Below are 19,642 nucleotides of genomic sequence, written 5' to 3' on the forward strand. Positions count from 1 at the left end.
GAATATATGCCTTTGTTGCCCAGTGTATAGCTAGTATCAAGAACACTTGTTACCATTTTGGAAATGAAGTAGTATTTTCAAGCTACCAAGACAATTGAGGAGTTTTGAAATGTTAATAATTCTCATTATGTGGTAACGGATTTTAGAAATTACTGCATTTACTTTAAAAGCCCAGTGCATCTCTACTTAGTCCTTTATTGATAGTGTTCATCAGTCTTCACAGGTGTATGATAATGTGTAATGAAAAGTACAGCTTTTCACATCTTTGCTATTCACGACGAACCCTGAATCCTCATGTTTCTTCACCCCAGCACAGTCCTTTCCCTACTCCTCTTTGCTAGGCACCAGTCTAGGCAGACAGAGTAGGTAAGTGACATTAGGAACAGGACAAGATTAAGTGACACCTGGGTGCTACAAGGCTGAAGAAAGGACCAGACCAATTCTACGTCAGATTTCAATGTGAAAAAAAATACTTTTGATGCCTTCCCGTCTCATCTTTTGCATCCCTCATTATCTCTTATTCTCCTGATGATCCTCCACATCTGATAGAAGAGTTACAGTTCTTTTACGTCAGGGGGTAACTGTAACCATCAGGGGCTCTGGAACCCCACTTATCAGCATTGTGGCTTTGGGCAAGTTAGTTAACCACTCTGTGCCTTAGTTTCCTTGTCTGTAAAATTCGAATGGTTTGTAATGGTGCCCCATCCCAACTGGAATGTAAAATGCATTAAACAGTGCCTACCATATAGTAGACACTGTAGAAATGTTGGCAGCAATGGTATTATGACAATAGGTTCATATTACAAATTAGATGGTTAAGGCCTTATGGGTGAGACTTTATATCCACGCTAAAAGGAGATCAGTAAATGTTGCATTTACTGAATGTTGCATTAATGAAAAACTTGCCTTTACTTGTAAGTGCCCCTTACTTAAAATTATCTCTTTTTCCCCCTTAAAACATTAATTCTTTCAGAGTATACTCTAGTAAGGGTGTTAAAAGAAAAAAAAAGATGATAACTAAACCAAACAACAATAAGGTGGGAATGATTAGTGGCTGCACCCTAGGAATGTTTTTTATTTAAATCATATTAATTTGCAAAATTCCAGGCAGCTTGGAATTAGGAAGAGGAATCTGGGCCGGTAACCTGAATATCCAGGTCAGTTTAACTTCTCACGTCAAAGAAAATACTGCTTTACTATAAGCAATGAGAGGTCCAAGATTCAGTTTCTACCATATATTGACTCCTAGTAACTAGGAGTAGTCATAACCATTACCCCAGGTCCCACAGAACATTTAGCCTGTGGGACCCTCTTTGACTTGAGATGACCTGACTTCTTGGGTTCCCAGATGCTGGAAATCTTGCAAAGAGGGCCTCAAAGTAGCTTCTTGATCTCATTAAGTTGTTCTCTCCCCTCACCATTGTTTCTCTAAAATGTTTGGCTGGCTTTTTAAAAATAGTACATAAAGTGTATTATTTCTCCTTAATTACCACACAGTGTAATGTGGTAACCATTGGATGCCTTATCAAATATGTTTGAGATTGAGCCCATTTAAAATTTATTCCAATACAGTTCTAAACTCCATTCATGCCTAAGGATTGTCATTTACTGTAATATAGCATGGTCCTCAGTCTTCCACTCAAAGGAATTAGAGGAATTAATGCCAGTCATTTTCATTAAACCCTTTTAATGTTAAAGATCATAATGTTCTTAAATGTTCAAAATATACAGAACATATGAACTGTGACATTGGGCTCCATTTCAAAATAGCATGTTTGCATATCCCTGTTGTGGCTGTTTTCCACTTCTAATGGTCATAAAACCCTGGCTTATATTTAGCAGAAAATCAACGACTTTGACAGAGGAGCTTAGCCTGGTAACAGCGCAAATTAATAACCATCTTTAATAGTAGTGAGAACAGTCTTTGAAGGGGTAAGCCAAAACCTGACCCCCGAAATCAACAGTATTGTCAAAGTATTTTACGGTAGATTGGCTGTTTAATCTACTATTTAAATGTACTTACTAGTTTTATCTAAGGAGACAAAACCAGTAACTTACCTTTATAGGAAATACTTTAGTTAAACTGTAGTGTAATTGCAGTGCTCCAGATTAACTACCCTCAAGCAGTAAACTATATTGGTTGCAGTATAGAAAGGATGTCTGCTTAGTATCTGCATAATATCAACCATTGACATAATTTTTTAGATTTATTTTTAGGACCTTCCAAATACAGGATACTATTCTAAAACCTAATAAGAATAGGGGAGATATATATATATAAAGCTATGCTTTAAGAGTTCATTTAGAAACTTTATTTTACTGTGCTGGAAAATACTGTGTCAAGTTGTACTTAAATTCAAAGACAAAATAAATTAACTGTGACCTTAAATCAAAATTTAATTATGTAGTACCTATTTCTTTATCTTAAAATGTGAAGCAAATAGTTATGAGGGCACAGTTGGTGTAGTGAGAAAATACTTCTCTAGTTACTGTAATTATGGGATAATTAAATAACCTTTCTGAACTTCAGTTTCCTCATCTACAAAATGTGAACAGTTCTTGTACTGCTTACTTCTTAGTGTTTGCATTGGGAATCAAATGAGATGATAATGTGAGAAAATGCTTCTTTAATTACTAAGTGTTTTTCAAATGTCTGTGAAGTCCTAAATACAAATCATAAAATTAGCAATGTAGAAGACTCTAGGCTGCAGCTACACATGTGTATCTTCGAAGAGTATTTACCCAACATCCTTTGAAAAGCAAAGAAGTAACCTGAGCTTTCATTGACACACAAATTTTCATCTTAATTTTTGTGTCAAAGAGATGTTGCTTCATGTAGCTGATAAGCTAGCATTTATTGACTTCTTATTGTTATTTTAGATATTATTTCTGCTAATCAACCCTTATTTCTACATGTCATATCATTTAATCTTCCCAACAATCCTTTGAGGTAGGTAATGTTAGTAGCTTCATTGAGGGAACTGAAGTAGAATTGCTTAAAGGATTATCTAAAACCACACAGCTAATAAGTGGCCAAATGAAGACTGAACTCAGAGCTGTGTTATTCCAAAGCCCAGGCAGCTCTCCTGGCCCCCAAAGTAGGCAATTGGAATCACACTAGGTATAATATAGCTTATCCCATATTAAAGCACCCCCTCACCCAAATCATAACTTCTAAAAGACCTATTGTCATAAAATAGTTTTAAAACTTGGTACCGTAACTTTTAGCCATAAAAGGGACCAATAGCCTTTGCTAATTAAGAGTACTGACAGATTCATTACCTGACTTGAATGCAAGTGAATGACTGGCCTCTCAGAGACCACCAGTGGTTACACAGTGGCCAAATTGGAAATTCATTAGCCAGAATAAGAAGTACTGGAAGAAGCAGCTGCTAACTTCTACCTTCTCTTTTTGCCACTTCCCTGATCAGATCTACAGAACCCTGTATCTCTAAATCCCACTCATCCTTCAGCTTCCCAGCTTGAGCATAACTGGCTTTTTTCCTTAACTAATGATAAGTATCACCACATGTTTAAAGAATTAAGCCATTTTAATTGAATTCCTACAGAAGCCCTGCTGAACAGTAGATAGCAAAGGAAAAGTGTATTTGTTTAACTATAACTCAGAGTTATATAGTATGCCTCACATTCTCACAAAAATTATTTTTTGACTAAGTTTCTAGCCTGAGAGCAATAGTCTGCATTTATGGGCCTAGGTACACATTCTTTAGAGTTGGGTAGCTTCCCCTAATAATTAACACGGTTATTGAGGAATGCTTTTTAACCATTCTTGTATTAGGATGCCACCTATAAAGATATCATCCAAAATGTGGCACATTGTCACCAGAAGTATGCAGAATGATTACTGGTAGTACAATATAAACATTTTTAAAAATTATAATTATAAATGTTAATTTTCTGTTAGGAAAAGTATACAGCCAGCACACCAAAGCCATGACTTCATGATTTTTTAAAGTTGAGGTTAAACTAGGTATTTTATTTTTAAAAAAGTTAAAAGAAATGTCAAATGAAGAACCCTTCAGTTAGTACCTGAATAGGCAGGTACACATATAAGTGAGATGTGGAAAACAGTGGCCTGAAATACGCATGATGATCTCAGCACTAGTTGTCTACAGTGCAGCGTCCTGTATGACAGAGTCTTGATCATCCTGCCTTTGTGGCATTCTGTAATGAAAACTTTGGATTGGCTATTACTTTTGTTATAGTGAGCTTATTAGGGAATATTTTGTCCCTTGCAGAATATTTTGTCCAGCTTCAAAACAGCCTTATTCCTTCAAAATAAGGAGTAGTCCCAGAGTCTGTTTTGTTTTTGTTTTTGTTTTTGTTTTTTGTTTTTGAGACAGAGTCTCACTCTATCGCCCAGGCTGGAGTGCAACGGTGCAATCTCAGTTCACTGCAACCTCCGCCTCCTGGGTTCAAGCGATTCTCCTGCCTCAGCCTCCTGAGTAGCTTGGACTACAGGCACCCACCACCACCCTCAGCTAATTTTTTGTATTTTTAGTAGAGACAGGGTTTCACCATATTGGCCAGGCTGGTCTCGAACCCCTGACCTTGTGATCCACCCACCTCAGCCTCCCACAGTGCTGGGATTACAGGCATGAGCCACCGCACTCGGCAGTCCCAGAGTCTTATTTCCTTATTTTTCTTATAATGACATATTCATTATTTGCCAGCTCCTTCACAATGGGAGAGGCTCTGCAGAATTTACTGTGATGAGTTTGCAAGGTGAAAGCAAAAGAACAATTATTTTTCTTGGTAGTTTAAATGAGATCTTGCTATGGAAAAGTCTGAGGTAAAACCCCAAAGCTGTTTCTCCCCCAAAAAAGTAGGTATTTATTTAGGAAGTAAAGTTGGCAACAAGGAATATGTAAACCTCTCTTAAATATGACATGTATGTTTCATTAGGATTTCAAAGTAACTGTTTATCAGGTAATATACAGTACTACCTGTGTTTATAACTTCTGACTTTGACTGCATGAGAAACCTAGACTTGAAGGTTTTCTTGACTTTTGATCTTTTAAGTGTGTTTTTTACTTTGTGGTTGTGTTTGAAAACAATTTAACTTGAATGGCTAAGATTCGTGCTTTGGGAAAGTTTTTTGTTGTTTAATCTGTTGGTTTTCATTGAAAAACTGCTGCTAGAAACAATGTGAATTTTGGAATCCAACTCGCTTGGTTTAGAATACTGGGTCTCGACTTCTCACTGCTCTATGACTTTGAGCAAATTGGCGCCTGACTGAGCCTCAGTTACACAAACTGAACATGGGCCTAACAATCCTTACTTCATGGGGTTGCAATCAAGATTAATGTAGGATACTATAAAAGGGTTCCTGCAGTGTTGGACAGAATAAATGGATGGTAGCTCTTAGTTTTGTTTTTTTTCAGTCTATAGCTGCACTGTGATCTATGGTTATGTAACCCCACCATTTATAGCCTCACTATACTTCTAAGTAGCTATATTAGTACGTTCTCACACTGCTATAAAGAACTACCTGAGACTGGGTAATTTATAAGAAAAAGTTTTAATTATGCTCACAGTTTTGTGAGCTGTACAGGCTTCTGCTTCTGGGGAGGCCTCAGGAAACTTACAATCATGGCAGAAGGTGAAGGGGAAGGAGGCACATCTTCACATGGCCTGCAGGAGAGAGACAGTGAAGTGGGAGGTGCTACAAACTTTCAAACAACCATATCTTATTAGAACTCTATCACAAGGACAGGAAGGGGGAAGTCTGCCCCCATGATTCAGTCATCTCCCACCAGGTCCCTCCTCCAACACTGAGGATTACAATTAAACATGACATTTGGGTGGGGACACAACCAAACCATATCAGTAGCCTTCTTTCCTTGAACTTGCCCTAGAGAGCCTCCTTATTCTTGCTCCACATGGACCATTCAGGATTTTGCTATTCACTGTGTATTTTTAAGTCATTTCTCCTGCCCACCTCCTTTCCTGCCAGTTCTGCATCCTATTTCCCCCTTTATTTCAGTCTTTACTGTTGTTTTCTCTGGACTTTCAATTGTTAGCACACACTTCAGCAGTTGTTTTTCTCTACTTCCTTGATTCAAATCTTATTTCTCCAATAAAATCTATGTACACAAGAGCAAAGAAGACTGTACCTATACTTTTCCCATATTATCTACAATTGCTTGGCATAGTGCCAGAAACAAAAAAGATGTTAAATCAGATGCATTGAAAAAATGGGAAAGCAGTGGTCTTAAAATAAAAGCCCAAAACATTCTGATACATTTAGTTTAGGTATAGTTATACTATATCGAGTACAATACTAACTACCCAGTAATGGAAATGTAATGGAGAAAAGAAGAGGAAATACACTAAATCCCTTATGTGAGACCTAGATTCAAATTCTGTTTCTCTACTTGCATGACATTAGGCAAGTCACCTAACATTAAATGTAAAATTGCAGGGTGCAGGAGATGGGGAGAACAAACCAAACAACTAATAAGTACAACAGACTTGGACTCTGAAGATTGAAATCTTGGCTCTGGAACTAAATAACTGCATGCATCTTCTTGAACAAGTCATGCATCTCTTGATTTCCCTCATCTCTAAATTTAGCGTGACAAAATCCATCTCACAAGGCTGTTAGGATTAATTAGAACTTGTGTGTGTCGATGCCTGGTATATTGTGGGCATATACTAAATGTTAGATTTATTTATCAAAAAAACTCTGTGGATCTTATGTGACCTCATTGTAGAAATGAGGGACTTTAGTTAGCCAATCACTGAAATCCCCTTGAGCTCTTAGTTTTGGGCAGGTATAACAAAGTACCATGGACTGAGTGGATTGTAAACAATAGAAAGTTACCTCTCACAGTTTTGGAGGCTGGATGTACAAGATCAGGGAACTGGCATGGTTGGGTTCTGGTGGGTTCTCTGTTCTGGGTTACAGACTACCAACTTATCACTGGATCCTCTCATGGCAAAAAGAGAATAAGAAAGCTCTCCAAGTTTCCTTTCATCATATTGTTGTTAGGATTTAAACATATCAATTTGTGGGGGACACAAACATTCTATCCATAACAAGTTCCAACATTCTACATCAGTCATCTCAGAGAGAAGATAATAGATAAAGAATGGATATTGTTCTTTTTAAGCTCACTAGGGATTCCTAACTTATCTACAGGAAACAGTTGTAACAAATAGAGAAAAATTGATGCCTCTAAATTAAATATGGTACTAGTAAAATATGTATTATTCATACTATGGCTTTACCTTCATAGTAATACCAGTGGATATCTATGGCATCTTCCTCCTGTGTTTTGATGTTTCATTTTGCCCAGTAAGAACCTCCCTATATTGCATGCTTAAATGATAAAGTATCTCAGTAATAAATAAAGCAGAGTTGAACCTGCCAAGTTGACCGACAGTTCACTGGTAGAAGAAGAGCTATATTTTATAATGCATACATCAGGTTTGACTTCTCCTTAATATTATACATGATTAAACAAGTTCAAAGAGAATATAACATTGATTCACTGCATTTCTCAGTGAAGGATTCTGCCTGTTGAAGAGAAGAATGTAATCTATTGCCAATTGGGGTTTTGTATTTGAAGTCCTCTGATTTCTAAAATAAGCACAAATTGTTTTCTTGTCTTTCATCTTCACAGCCTTTCTATGCATAGAAATCTTGAATATGGTCTTTTTCTGGCAAGTGTCTGAATAAGGGTTTACAATGCCTTGTTTATCTGACAAGCAACCATGTTGGCAAATATTTCAAGGCTCCAGTAATACTAATGTGAGTCTTTAGGTAAAGGAAGCTGGTTATCTGTCTGGCACATGGGAAGACTTAAGAGCATTGCAGTAATGAACTATTTCCTTAGAATGCCAGGTTTACCAGCAATCAGATATGGAGGCCGCAATTAATACATTAGGATCCACCAGGAGGTCCTAAAATTGGGTCTTGTAGAGTTTCAAAAGAGATACTGTTACTGTGCCCCTCCTTTTCCCACTCTGTTGGCCAAAGTTCTGAGTATGGCACTTCCCTCCTTGCTTCCTTGAGATCTCAGCATTTAGTGAAGTGAAAAGTTCTCTGCTCACAAGAAAGATCCTCCCCCCAATCCGGGGTTTGACAGACAGGTCTATATGGTGTGATTCCATGGATATGTGGTATATAATATGCCAGAATGTTTGACCTACCAGGTAGGAATCTAACCATATCTTCCTCCACAAGCACTAACATTTAGGATTTTGGTTTTTGTTTTTCCTCAAGTTGTTATTTTGAACATCTTATTTGTAAGTTCTCTGAGGGAAATTGAAATTTAAAATATCTAAGACAAAGAGGAAAAATCTAATTGAGTTGATCATTTCTGAGATTACTTTAAGTCTTTGTAAACTTAGTTTAAATTTTCACATTTGTTCCAAGTAAATACTTAGAAAACTTAAGAACTGCATTTGATGCCACAGTTGATCTTCTGGCAGCAGATAGTAAATGGGAGAAAAGTAAAGCCAGTAAAAACGGTTCTTAATAGAAATGTAAAGGAATTTAATAAGTATATATTCTGTTCTTAAGCCTTTGAAAACCATGAGAGATTACTTTTATAAAAATATATATATTTTTTTTTGCGTGAACTCCACTTCTTGGAGCTCAAGTTCTTGGCCCAAATTGTCTCTGCAAATCTGTATTATGAAAGTCTATTCTTAGGTATGGTTTTTAAAGGATGACCCCTGGACAGTTATGTTCCGACACTTTTAACCATGTAACCCTTTCTTCACACAAAAATATTTCATTGAAGTACAATATCTACAGTGAGCCCCCTCTGTTTGAAGTGGGGTAAAGAAAGAAAAACAGAAGTCCACATATACACACAGACATGCAACATGTATGCATAAATCTGTGGTTTCAAAGGTCACAGTTTGAAAATCCTGAGTATTTTACTATGTTTTCATTAGAAGGACAGCCCCAGTTTTTCAAATTCTGAACTAGACCTTGAGCAATAATTATTTTAAATTTAAAAGTACAAACTACAGGAAGAAGATTCCTGAAAGATGGTAGCAGTAGTGACATTGTTCTTTAATCTCATCATAAAACAGAGCAAGTAGGATATCAAAACCAAAAACCTACAGATAGCAACAACCTCAAAGCTAAGTATCCTTATAAACCCCCAAATACTAGCAGGTAAGGACAAACTGCCAACAACTACAAAATCAGTGTGGGATCAGTAAATGTGTGGAAGGAAGCAAATGTAAGGAAACAAGGTGGTTGATGGGTCCTGAGAAGAGGAAAGCCCTTGAAGTGCCAGCAAATACTCATTGGAAAGCACAGCAAGCCAATTACATAGCAACCACTGAGATTGCTTGGGCGTTTTTGTAATGTTTAATTCATAGGTGAATAAAGGAGACTGGAAAGTGATTCAGTTTGATAGTGCTAAAGCAGTCTGGGCCTTAAAAACTCCTGAAGCAGACAAACCAAAGTTGTCTTCCAGAACAAATGCTGTCACTGAAGGAAGCTACTTGAAGTAGAATCCAAATTAAGCAGTACAGGACAAAAGGGGAGAAGAAACAAAGTCCATATAAAAAGTGGGCAAGGACAACAGAGTAGGCAGTCCCACAAAGTGGGAGACCACATTTTGTAAAATCACTTTGTGAAAACAATTGAAAAGACAGCTTTGGAATCATTAAGTTGGGAAGAACTAGGCTGGACTGTCCCTTTCACAGTACAGGAAAACATCTTTAAAAAAAAAAAAAGGAAAACAAAAATGGTTAAAGCCTTTATAAGATAAAAGAATACAGGGCAAAATAACGTTCCTACAATGAAAACATGCCCCAAAAAATCCACAAAATAGATTAAAACTATGAACTATTACTTCAAAACAAGCTAAAAGAAGTTTTTTACATGATATCCGAAAGGAAAGACAAATCCAAATTAGAAAAGACTCAGAAATTAGGTGATTGAGTAAAAATCAATGGAGTATATAAGATATTTTAGAAAGGAAAACATGAGCCACTTACTTTCTGTCCAGCCAGACTTACCTTCAGTTACAGCTCCCCCAGACAATCAAATATTGCTCACATGAGCCCTTGCTGAGAAATCTACTGGAAAATGAGTTTCAGACAACCAAAATGAAAAACAAATTGTAGAGACATCAGAATAAGGACTGGTGAAATTTTGTTTCTTAGCACTTAGATACAGGACCATGTGACTGAGTCCTGGCCACCGACAAGGGGTAGCAGAAATACAAGGTACTTCCAAGCACCATCCTCCATACTTTTTTCACTGATTTGTCAGCTAGGTACAAAGGATCCAGCAAAGTATTCTTTGTCACCAATAGAAATAACTTCACAGTTATTCCAGATATCTTTAAATAATGCTTCATCACCTCATTACAATTTTTAGACCTAGCAGATTAAATTGGATTTTGTCATTTATTATTAAATCTGTAACACTTTTTTTTTTTTTTTGAGACAGGATTGCTCTGTCACCCAGGCTGGAGTGCAGTGCCGTGATCACAGCTCACTGCAGCCTCAACCTCCTGGACTCAATCCTCCCACCTCAGCCTCCTGAGTAGCTGGGACCACAGGCGCACATGCTACCAAGCCCAGCTAATTTTTTTATTGTTACTTTTTGTAGAGACAGGGTTTTGCTGTATTGCCTATGCTGGTCTCAAACTCCTGGGCTCAAGCGATCCTCTCACCTTGGCCTCCCAGACTGCTGGAATTACAGGCATGAGCCACTGTGTCTGGCCCTGTAACACAAAAGTTTTTAATCCTTTGATAACTTTATTTCAATATAATCTATTTTCTTTGTGATACTGTGCATTTTCTGTTATGATTTAAAAATATTATCCTGAGAAAAGGTCCATATGCTTCACTAGACTACCAGATGGGTCCATGGCACCTGATTTAAATGGAAGAAGACAGGGTCTTTAAATTAAATGGGAGCAGAGTGCCTTTCCCCCACTCTATCAATACACATTGAAAATGACTTGAGCCAGAAATAGTTTTTGTCATGTTTAAATGGGAAAAAAAAGCACAAAGGAAAGTTTTTTATTTTATTCAAATGCTTTTTTAGAAAGAACATTAATATTTTCTTAATGTTTTAGTAGTTTTTCATTATTCAAAATCAGTTTACATGGTCTTTACTGATTATCCCCAGGGGTCAAAAAAAGCACCAATCTACCTTTAATTTTTGTGGTTGGGAAAGCTAGACCAAAGTGAAAAAAATTTTTTTGTAGTATTTCCATAGGTTTTTGGGGAACAGGTGGTATTTGGTTACATGAGTAAGTTCTTTAGTGGTGATTTGTGAGACTGTGGTGCACCCATCACTTGAGCAGTATACACTGAAGCCAATTTGTAGTCTCTTATCTCTCACCCCCTTCCCACCCTTTCCCCACTGAGTCCCCGAAGTCCACTGTGTCATTCTCATGCCTTTGCATCCTCATAGCTTATCTCTCACTTAAGAGTGAGAACATACGATGTTTGGTTTTCCATTCCTGAGTTACTTCACTTAGAATAATATGCCATTAATTAATTCCTTTTTATGGCTAAGTAGTATTCTATCATATATGTGTACCACAGTTTCTTTATCCACGCATTGATTGTGGACATTTGGGTTGGTTCCACATTTTTGCAATTCCAAATTGTGCAGCTATAAACATGCATGTACAAGTACCTTTTTCATATAATGACTTCTTTTCCTCTGGGTAAATACCCAGTAGCGGGATTGCTGGATCAAATGGTAGTTCTATTTTTAGTTCTTTAAGGAACCTCCACACATTTCCATACTGGTTGTACCAGTTTACATTCCCACCAGCAGTGTAGAAGTATTCCCTTTTCACCGCATCTATGCCAACATATATATATTTTTTTATTTTTTTGCGGGAGTAAGATGGTATCGCATTGTGGTTTTGATTTGCATTTCCCTGATCATTAGTGATGTTGAGCATTTTTTCATATGTTTGTTGGCCATTTTTATATCTTCTTTTGAGAATTGTCTATTCATGTCCTTAGCCCACTTTTTGATGGGATTGTTGTTTTTCTCCTGTTAATTGTTTAAGTACCTTGTAGATTCTGGATATTAGTCCTTTGTCAGATGTATAGATTTTGAAGATTTTTCCCACTCTGTGGGTTATCTGTTTACTGACTGAAGTGAAGATTTATTTCTTACAGTCATTCTAGTCCTCATTTTAAAATGCAAATTTGGTACAAAGTACTCTTTTCTGAAGGGAACGTGCAGATTTCAGACACAAATACACGTTATTGTACATTTCTAATAATCTATCACAAAAAAATCATAGAATTATAATGTATAATTTTGGAATTTATTGTTGAAGGGGGCTTTGGTGATATCTAATCCACCTTCCTCATCTTCATAAATTAAGGATCTGAAAAGTTTAAATTTATATATGGTCACATTTACCCTGGTCACACAACTGGAATGGCAGTCTAGAATAAAACTATGCTGTTTCCACTTATGTGGTAATAATGCGTTAGACCAATTACAGTCTTACACAGTCTTCATCTTCCTCCCCTTTCCTCCTTCCTTCCTGTCACAGCAGAAAAGGTGTCAGTGCTTCTGTCTGTGGTTTAATCCTCCTTCCTGTTTGGACATTTTGTATGCCCCGCCCTTCTTATCCCCCATTCACATTCCTCTCTAGCTTTTCACATCCAGACTTCTAGAAACAGAAACACATTGTCTCTCCTTTAATTTTTTTATTTCTTAACCCACAACCGATGACAAGCATTTCACTCAAATTGCTCCTCTCAAAGTCACCAACTGCATTTTGCTGAAAGTGATAGAACTTTCTCCATGTTTTCCTTCACCACTCTGCAATACACAACACTGTTGACCACATTCTTCTCCTCGAAGTGCTCCTTCTCTCAGCTTCTGTGATACCATATGCCCCTGAGTTTCCTCTTGTCTGGTTGCTCTTTCTCACCCTCCTCATCTGTTGCCAATACCTTTAAATGTCAGTAAGTGTTTCTCAGAACTCCCTCCTAACTCCCCTCCTTTTGCAGTGCTGGTTCTGTCATAACCTAATCCACTCATAGGGGTTATAAAGACCAACAGTTGTGAGCACTGTTGACTCACAAATCTCTGCAATACAGCCCTTTTTACCTGAATTTCATACCTGGCTGGCATCTGCAGATGGACATGCTACAAGTCCTCCAAACTCAATATGATCCTTTTGTGTCTCAACTCTGAGATGTATTACTTCTTTCCATGCTCCTGTCATTACCACCATCATCTTATACCTCAGTCACTATAAAGCCCTGTAACTGGTCTCATGTCCTCAATCTCAGCTATATCCTCACTGCTATCAGGGTGATCTTTTTCATATGAAAATCTGTTGTTCCATGAAAGGGTCATATATGCAAAGTGACTCCTAAACTCAGAAGGAGCCAAGAAACCTAAGGATAAGGCTCGCAAATCCAGTTTTTCAGGAAATGGTAATTTATTTGGGAACTTACAGATGGAAGCATACTCTTGGGTGGCAGCAAGACAGGTAGATCTGCACACCACTACTGCCCAGACCGGGGCTTTTATACCACAGGGAAAGGGTTTACAGGCTCTATAGAAACAATTTAAGACAACCCACCAGAACAGGCAAGAATGCTAGGTACATCATGCCTGTGCAGTAATTTGTGCTGTACCATCAAGATTGCTTTGATCTAAAAGCAGGATTTACAGTGAGTACATGTTCTTACACTAAAGACAGCTAGTAAAATAAGAATCAGGAGGCCTTCACAGGACTGGAGTTAATCAGAAGTCAGCATTGTGGATTAGTATTCAAGATGGAGTCACTTTTGTCTAAGCATCTGTCCATGTTCACTTATCTTTTCAAAACCTCTCCTCTTCCTTCCCTTTCCATATTGTGTTCTGCATTGTCTAAGTGACCCACCAAGCAAATTTTTTGTAAAGTGGATTTTCGTTCCCTTACCTAACTTACTTTCCTCAATATTGGGTTGCCTTTCTATCTACCAAACAGTAGGATTCATACCTGTCTCTGAGTGTTTGTGGCCATTGTTTTTGAAACTTAAGAAATAGAATTGGTGTTTTGAAAACTTGGATATTGTCGTAACACTGATAGTGATTCTGTGGGCATAGGACATTGAATGTAATTATTATGCTAGATACCCTAAGACTTATGAAATTGGCACTAAAGCACCATTAAGAGATACTGACCCACAGTTTAAATTTACTCAGGCCAGGTGCAGTGGTTCATGCCTGTGATCTCAGCACTTTGGGAGACCAAGGGAGGAGGCTTGCTTGAGGCCAGGAGTTTGAGACCAGCCTAGGCAACATAGTGAGACCCTGTTTCTACAAAACATTTAAAAATTAATGGGGTCTGGTGGCATGTGCCTGCGGTCCCAGCTATTCAAGAGGCTGAGGTGGGATGATTGAGCCCAGATCAAGGCTGCAGTGAGCTGTGATCATGCCCTTACACTCCAGCCTGGACAACAGAGCAAGACCCTGTCTCAAAAAAGAAAAATAAATTTTAAAAAATTAATTTACTCAATCTAAATGGTTTGATTTTTAATTTTACCATGTTTGGTGTTTAATAAACTATTCTTTGTTATTTCCATTCTTTCTGTTATAAAAGCTGTCACGAGTTACTGCTTCCAATATCATACATAAAACAGGACTAATCAAATTGGATTGTGCCAACATTTTAACTGAGGAGTCCCAGAGTATTTCCATTTGTAGTGTTGATTTAATTCTAGAAGTTTGTGTTAAGTTCCTTATTGTTTCTTTTGTTGAAAATATTCTCTATCTTTATTTTAACATTATTTGATGAACTAAAGAGATGTAATTATTAACAAAATTATCATTTTAAAATTTTACATTGTGAATACTTAGCATGCTGTGGTCATAAACAGTGTAATTGTGTTTGCAGTGAATAAATTGTTAGCCTAAAATAGAAAGAAGTCTTACATGAATTAGGACAAAATTTATCTTGATGTTTTGCAAATCCTTAGCCAGCTGTGAATATACAACTAAATAATACTACACTTCACAGAGAAAGCAATTTATCATGTGTGAATACATTTTTAGGAGCTTTTGTATGATTAGTTTTGAAATAGAAAAATGCAACTTGTGTAAGTAGAGAAATTTCACAAAGTAATAGCTAAATGTGTACCACATTTAGCTGTGTTTTAGGGAGGTTGTTTTTAAAAATAATTTGGAGTCACTACCTTAAGCCTTGTTTTATTATTTACCATTATTTCTCACAATCAGTATATTACATGTATACTTGTTTATTTGCTTACTGTTATCTTCCCTTCGCTAGGATATAAGTTCCATGAAATGAAGAACTTTGGACTTGTCCACTGCCAAATCTGCAGCACATAGAACAGTGCCAACATATAGAGGGATCTTAGGATATATTTGTTGAATATATGAATAAGTGAACAAGTAAATTTTATTTAGCATCTTTTTTACTTTTTACTTATCATGTTTTGAGGATTTCTCCGTGTTACTGAAGAGTAAAATACCTTTTTAAGGAAGAAATCATGGTGTACCTACTGATGTACTTTGGCAGTGTCCCCACTCAAATCTCATCTCAAATTGTAACCGCCATAATCGACACATGTCATGGGAGGAACCCAGTGGGAGGTGATTGGATCATGGGGGCAGTTTCCCTCATGCTGTTCTTTTGACAGTGAGTTCTCACAAGATCTAATGGTTTTATAAGGCGCTTTTCCCCCTTTGCTCCTCACCCTTCTCTCTCCTGTCACTCTGTGAGGAAGGAGGTGTTTGCTTCCACTTCTGCCATGATTGTCAGTTGAGGCCTCCCCAGGCATGTGGAACTGTGAGTCAATTAAACCTCTCCTCCATAAATTACCCAATCTTGGATATTTCTTTATATCAGTGTGAAAACAAACTAATACACCTATTCCGTCCTCAGCACTTTTTGTCAATGTTACAAGTGTCAGTTCTTTATGAATTCATAAATCCAATAAAAAGTGTTGTTCTAGTATTTATTATGTGGCAGACATCATCACAGCTGCCTAGTATGCAAAGATAAGTAAGACACAGTGCCTGCCCTCAGGGGACTCCTAGACTGTAAAAGACAGGCAACAACATAACCAGGGGTAAGGATAATTTATTTTGCTGGTTAGGAGTGAAACCAGGTTTTACAAAGTGGCTAACTCTGAGAAAATGGCAACAGACTGATCACCAAAGGAAATTTAAACAAATATATGACAATTAGAGAGTGATAGAAGAGGATAGTGATATTCAAAAGAAATAAGACTAAGTACAAATAGAACACACAGATTTCCAGGTCCCATCAGGGAACAAGTTCAATATAAGTCAGTAGTTTTCATACATCAAGAACTGATGTGAAACAAAAATATTAAGAATAGAGCCTCCAAAACCAAAAAAGTAATATTTTTCTTCCCGTAGAAGAGAAGCTGGTCTTTACTAAAGTAGCAAATTCAAATCTAGTCTTTACTAAAATAGCAAATTCAAATCTGTTCTCATTTGATCATCCTTTTACCTATTATGTGCAGAGAGTCATCTTAAAGTTAGATTACAAAAAATTAAGAGGTGAGTCATGATGGCTCTTGCCTATAATCCCAACACTTTGAGTGGCTGAGGCAGAATGATCACTTGAGCCCAGGAGATCAGAACCAGCCTGGGCAAAATAGGGAAAGCCCATCTGTACAAATATATATATATATATATTTTTTTTTTAATTAGCTGAGCATGGTGGCACATGCCTGTGGTTCCAGCTACTCAAGAGGTTGAGGTGGGAGGATTGCTTGAGCCCAGGAGATGGAGGCTGCAGTGAGCTGCGATCATACCACAGGATCCTTTGTAATAGTGTCACAGGATCCTTCAGGTGTTGCTTTTCTAGCCAGAAACTTCTGTGGTAGGTGGTGCCTTTGCTTGGGTTTTGCTTGGGCCCACTGGGCTCATTCCACCCACTTGGCCTGGAATCAGCTGTGCTTGACTCATGCTACCAGCCTGGATCCCACATCTGCCAAGGGTGAGCCAGGCACGGAGCAGTGAGAGGTGTGTGAGCAAACAATCATGGAATCTAGTCACTGTGCATAGCCAGGCATGCCAGCTGCTGTGGTGGGGCAGGCAGCTCCATGCAAGACTGTGGCTAGATCAGACGTACCACAAGTGACTTCTGCTACAGGCACCTGCATCTGAACAATGCATCTGAACGCAGTGGCAACCAGAAACTTGGAGACCCCAGGAACAGCAGAGCCTCAAAAAGGATGTCAACAGTCCTAGCTCAGGGAGCCCCTAGGCCTGGGCTCCCCAGAGGGCCGTAGCTCTTCTCTCTTTCTCTTCACCCACAAGATGGTGAGTTGGGGGGTAGGGGGGGTATGTTTCAGCACTGTTTGTATTACAGCTCTTTCAGTCTCACCATTTGGTGGGTCCCAAGTTCTTGTTCCACATCCAGGAAGAATGAGATTCGGACAACTGGAGGGTGAGCAAGGTGGAAAGGAGCTTCACTGAGTGACAGAATGGCTCTCAGGAGACCTGAAATGTGTAGCTCCTTTTTGCAGGCAGCTTGTCCCAATGAATGTCCAGCTCTCAGCAGAGAGGAGACCTGTAGTGGCTAGCTCCTTTCTGCAAGCAGGTCATCTAGAGGAGTGTGTAAGTCTGGCTGAGTCTGGGGTTTTTATGTGCTCAGAATGGAGGCAGTACATGCTGACTGGTCCATGGGCTGTCACGGGTGGGCCTGGAGAAAGCACCATCTGGTTGGCCAGGTGGTCATCAATGAAGTTCTCACTCCAGGCTGCAGACTTTGCTCAGAACTGGCAGCCCAGCCCACAGGCTTCAGGCCATCCCCAGCCTGAAGGTGGAGTTTCACTGGGGACCTGCCCCTTCCCGCCTAGGAACCTATCTGCTTTTCATACCATCCATGGCACCCAGGCTGTCTGTGCCAAGAGGCGCCCACAGGTCCATGCCAAGCTGCCCGCAGTGCCCCCGGCCTCCCTCCTGCACTCGTAGGTGTCTAAAGTCTGGAAGGAGCCTGTGCAGCAGGGGGCTGGTGTGTCAGTGCTGCCCTGAGCATGTTCATACCCAGCTGGGTTGTGATAGCACCCAGGCCCACCCACAACTTTGCTCCACCTCAGAGTGGATGCCCAGAGCTGGGAGAGGCCAGGGAGTGGGAACAGGTACTTTGAAGCCTATGGGGGCAGGGAGCTTCCTAGGCCCCCAAGAGTGCAGGGATGCCTTGGTCTGGAGCCATGGCTGGGTGGCTGCAGCTGTGCCTAGCAGCACAGGGCTCCTGCCCCGCCAGCTTAGTAGAGGGTGGGGCTCCCGCCTGATCCCAGCCCCGACCGGTTCCATGGAGGGTGCAGCCCTCGCTGCGCCTCCCCCACTACAGCTGGCATCCGTACAGCAGCTGCTGCAGAGAGGCCACTGCCGCCATGAACAGAGCAAGACCTTGTCTCAGGAAAAAAAAAAAAAAAAGAAGAGGATTCAGAGATCCAAGAAAGGCATAAAGGTGGAAAATAAAAGCCATTTTAAATGCTGTAAAATTGCTTAGTACAGAAAAAGGATTTCTACCTTCCTAACTTTCCAGTAACTGAAGGGCATTGACAAAATGGTTTTTTGAACAGAAATAGAGGAAAGGGCCTTATATGTAGCAAAATAAAAATGAAACTAAGCATTAGAGAAACCTTTCTAGTGTAAGAAATATTAACCAAATACTTGAAAGTCAGTAATTGGCGAAACTGCCTTCTTTGATTTAGGGGGACATCCTGCATTTTGTTGGCGGTCTAGAAACAAAGATTTATTGTTTCCAATGATTTGGATAAATAGGGTATTCTTTGATTCAAAATTATTAGATACAACATTTTAGCAAATATATGAAGTATCAATGGCTTTTGTAATCTTAACATATAAATAATGAGAGTTAGATTTGGATTTGGGTTTTGATCTTCCCAAAGGAAAATTAAATTCATCAAAGCAAAGAAGCCCAGCTGGCATAAGCACTTGACAGATTCAAAAAAGATAGGACTGTTGGTTGTCTATAATATATTCTATTCTCAACCTTTTGTTTCAGCTTTAACATTTCTATCCTTTCAAATGCTACTCTATCCCGTCCACCTGCATCAAATGAGTAATAGCGTTTTACAAGTAGTAGCAATTTTTCTGAATGTAAGACAATGAGTGGCCATCTTTAGAAGGAAATTGCTTTTTAAGAATCAGGCTATCGTTTCTCATTTGAACTAATTAGTTGGTGCCTTCAGAGCTTTGCTTTCATATACTATGTATATCGTAGTTGTACTACGTCCTTTGCATTTGTTTCCATCTATAAAGAGTACAATTAGCCTTTTTAATGCTTAGTTCAGTCACAATTAAAGCTCCCCTAATGGTTAGGGATTGGTCTTTCCAAGGCTGAGAAGGTGTTTTTAATTATTCATTCCTCTGTTTGTGTCTTACAGCAGCCTCAGCTGTGCTTTATTATTCAAAGGTTAATGCAAACTGAGAAGTGGATAAATTAAATCTGCCTGGCAGCCAACAACCCAACATGTTAGCAGACACTGTAAGATGGGGATGGGCAGTGTAAGTTATTTCCATTATTGCAGCACTGCCAAAAGCAAAAACCACTAAATCCTTCAAAGATAGCCGACGTTGACAGGAATTATTAAGGGATACTACAAGTTGATGGTTCTTAAATAGCAGATCTTC

At 38.7% G+C, this 19,642-nt stretch overlaps 1 protein-coding gene across 4 annotated transcripts in view, besides 1 other annotated feature; it reads left to right on the forward strand.

The window, feature by feature from the left end:
- Nucleotides 1–19,642, forward strand: part of UBE2E2 (ubiquitin conjugating enzyme E2 E2) — a 388,828-nt gene that overhangs the window by 259,131 nt on the left and 110,055 nt on the right. The window lies entirely within an intron of this gene.
- Nucleotides 11,488–11,657: an enhancer, noted in NCBI's record as "experimental_68737 CRE fragment used in MPRA reporter constructs". NCBI's record gives its function as "activates a minimal promoter by MPRAs in K562 erythroleukemia cells, with activity observed for the introgressed 3:23515292 variant allele {active_cell/tissue: K562}" and the evidence as "EXISTENCE:reporter gene assay evidence [ECO:0000049][PMID:34662402]".

The sequence above is a fragment of the Homo sapiens genome, chromosome 3 (genome assembly GCF_000001405.40).
Source record: "Homo sapiens chromosome 3, GRCh38.p14 Primary Assembly".
In the NCBI taxonomy this organism is placed as follows: domain Eukaryota; kingdom Metazoa; phylum Chordata; class Mammalia; order Primates; family Hominidae; genus Homo; species Homo sapiens.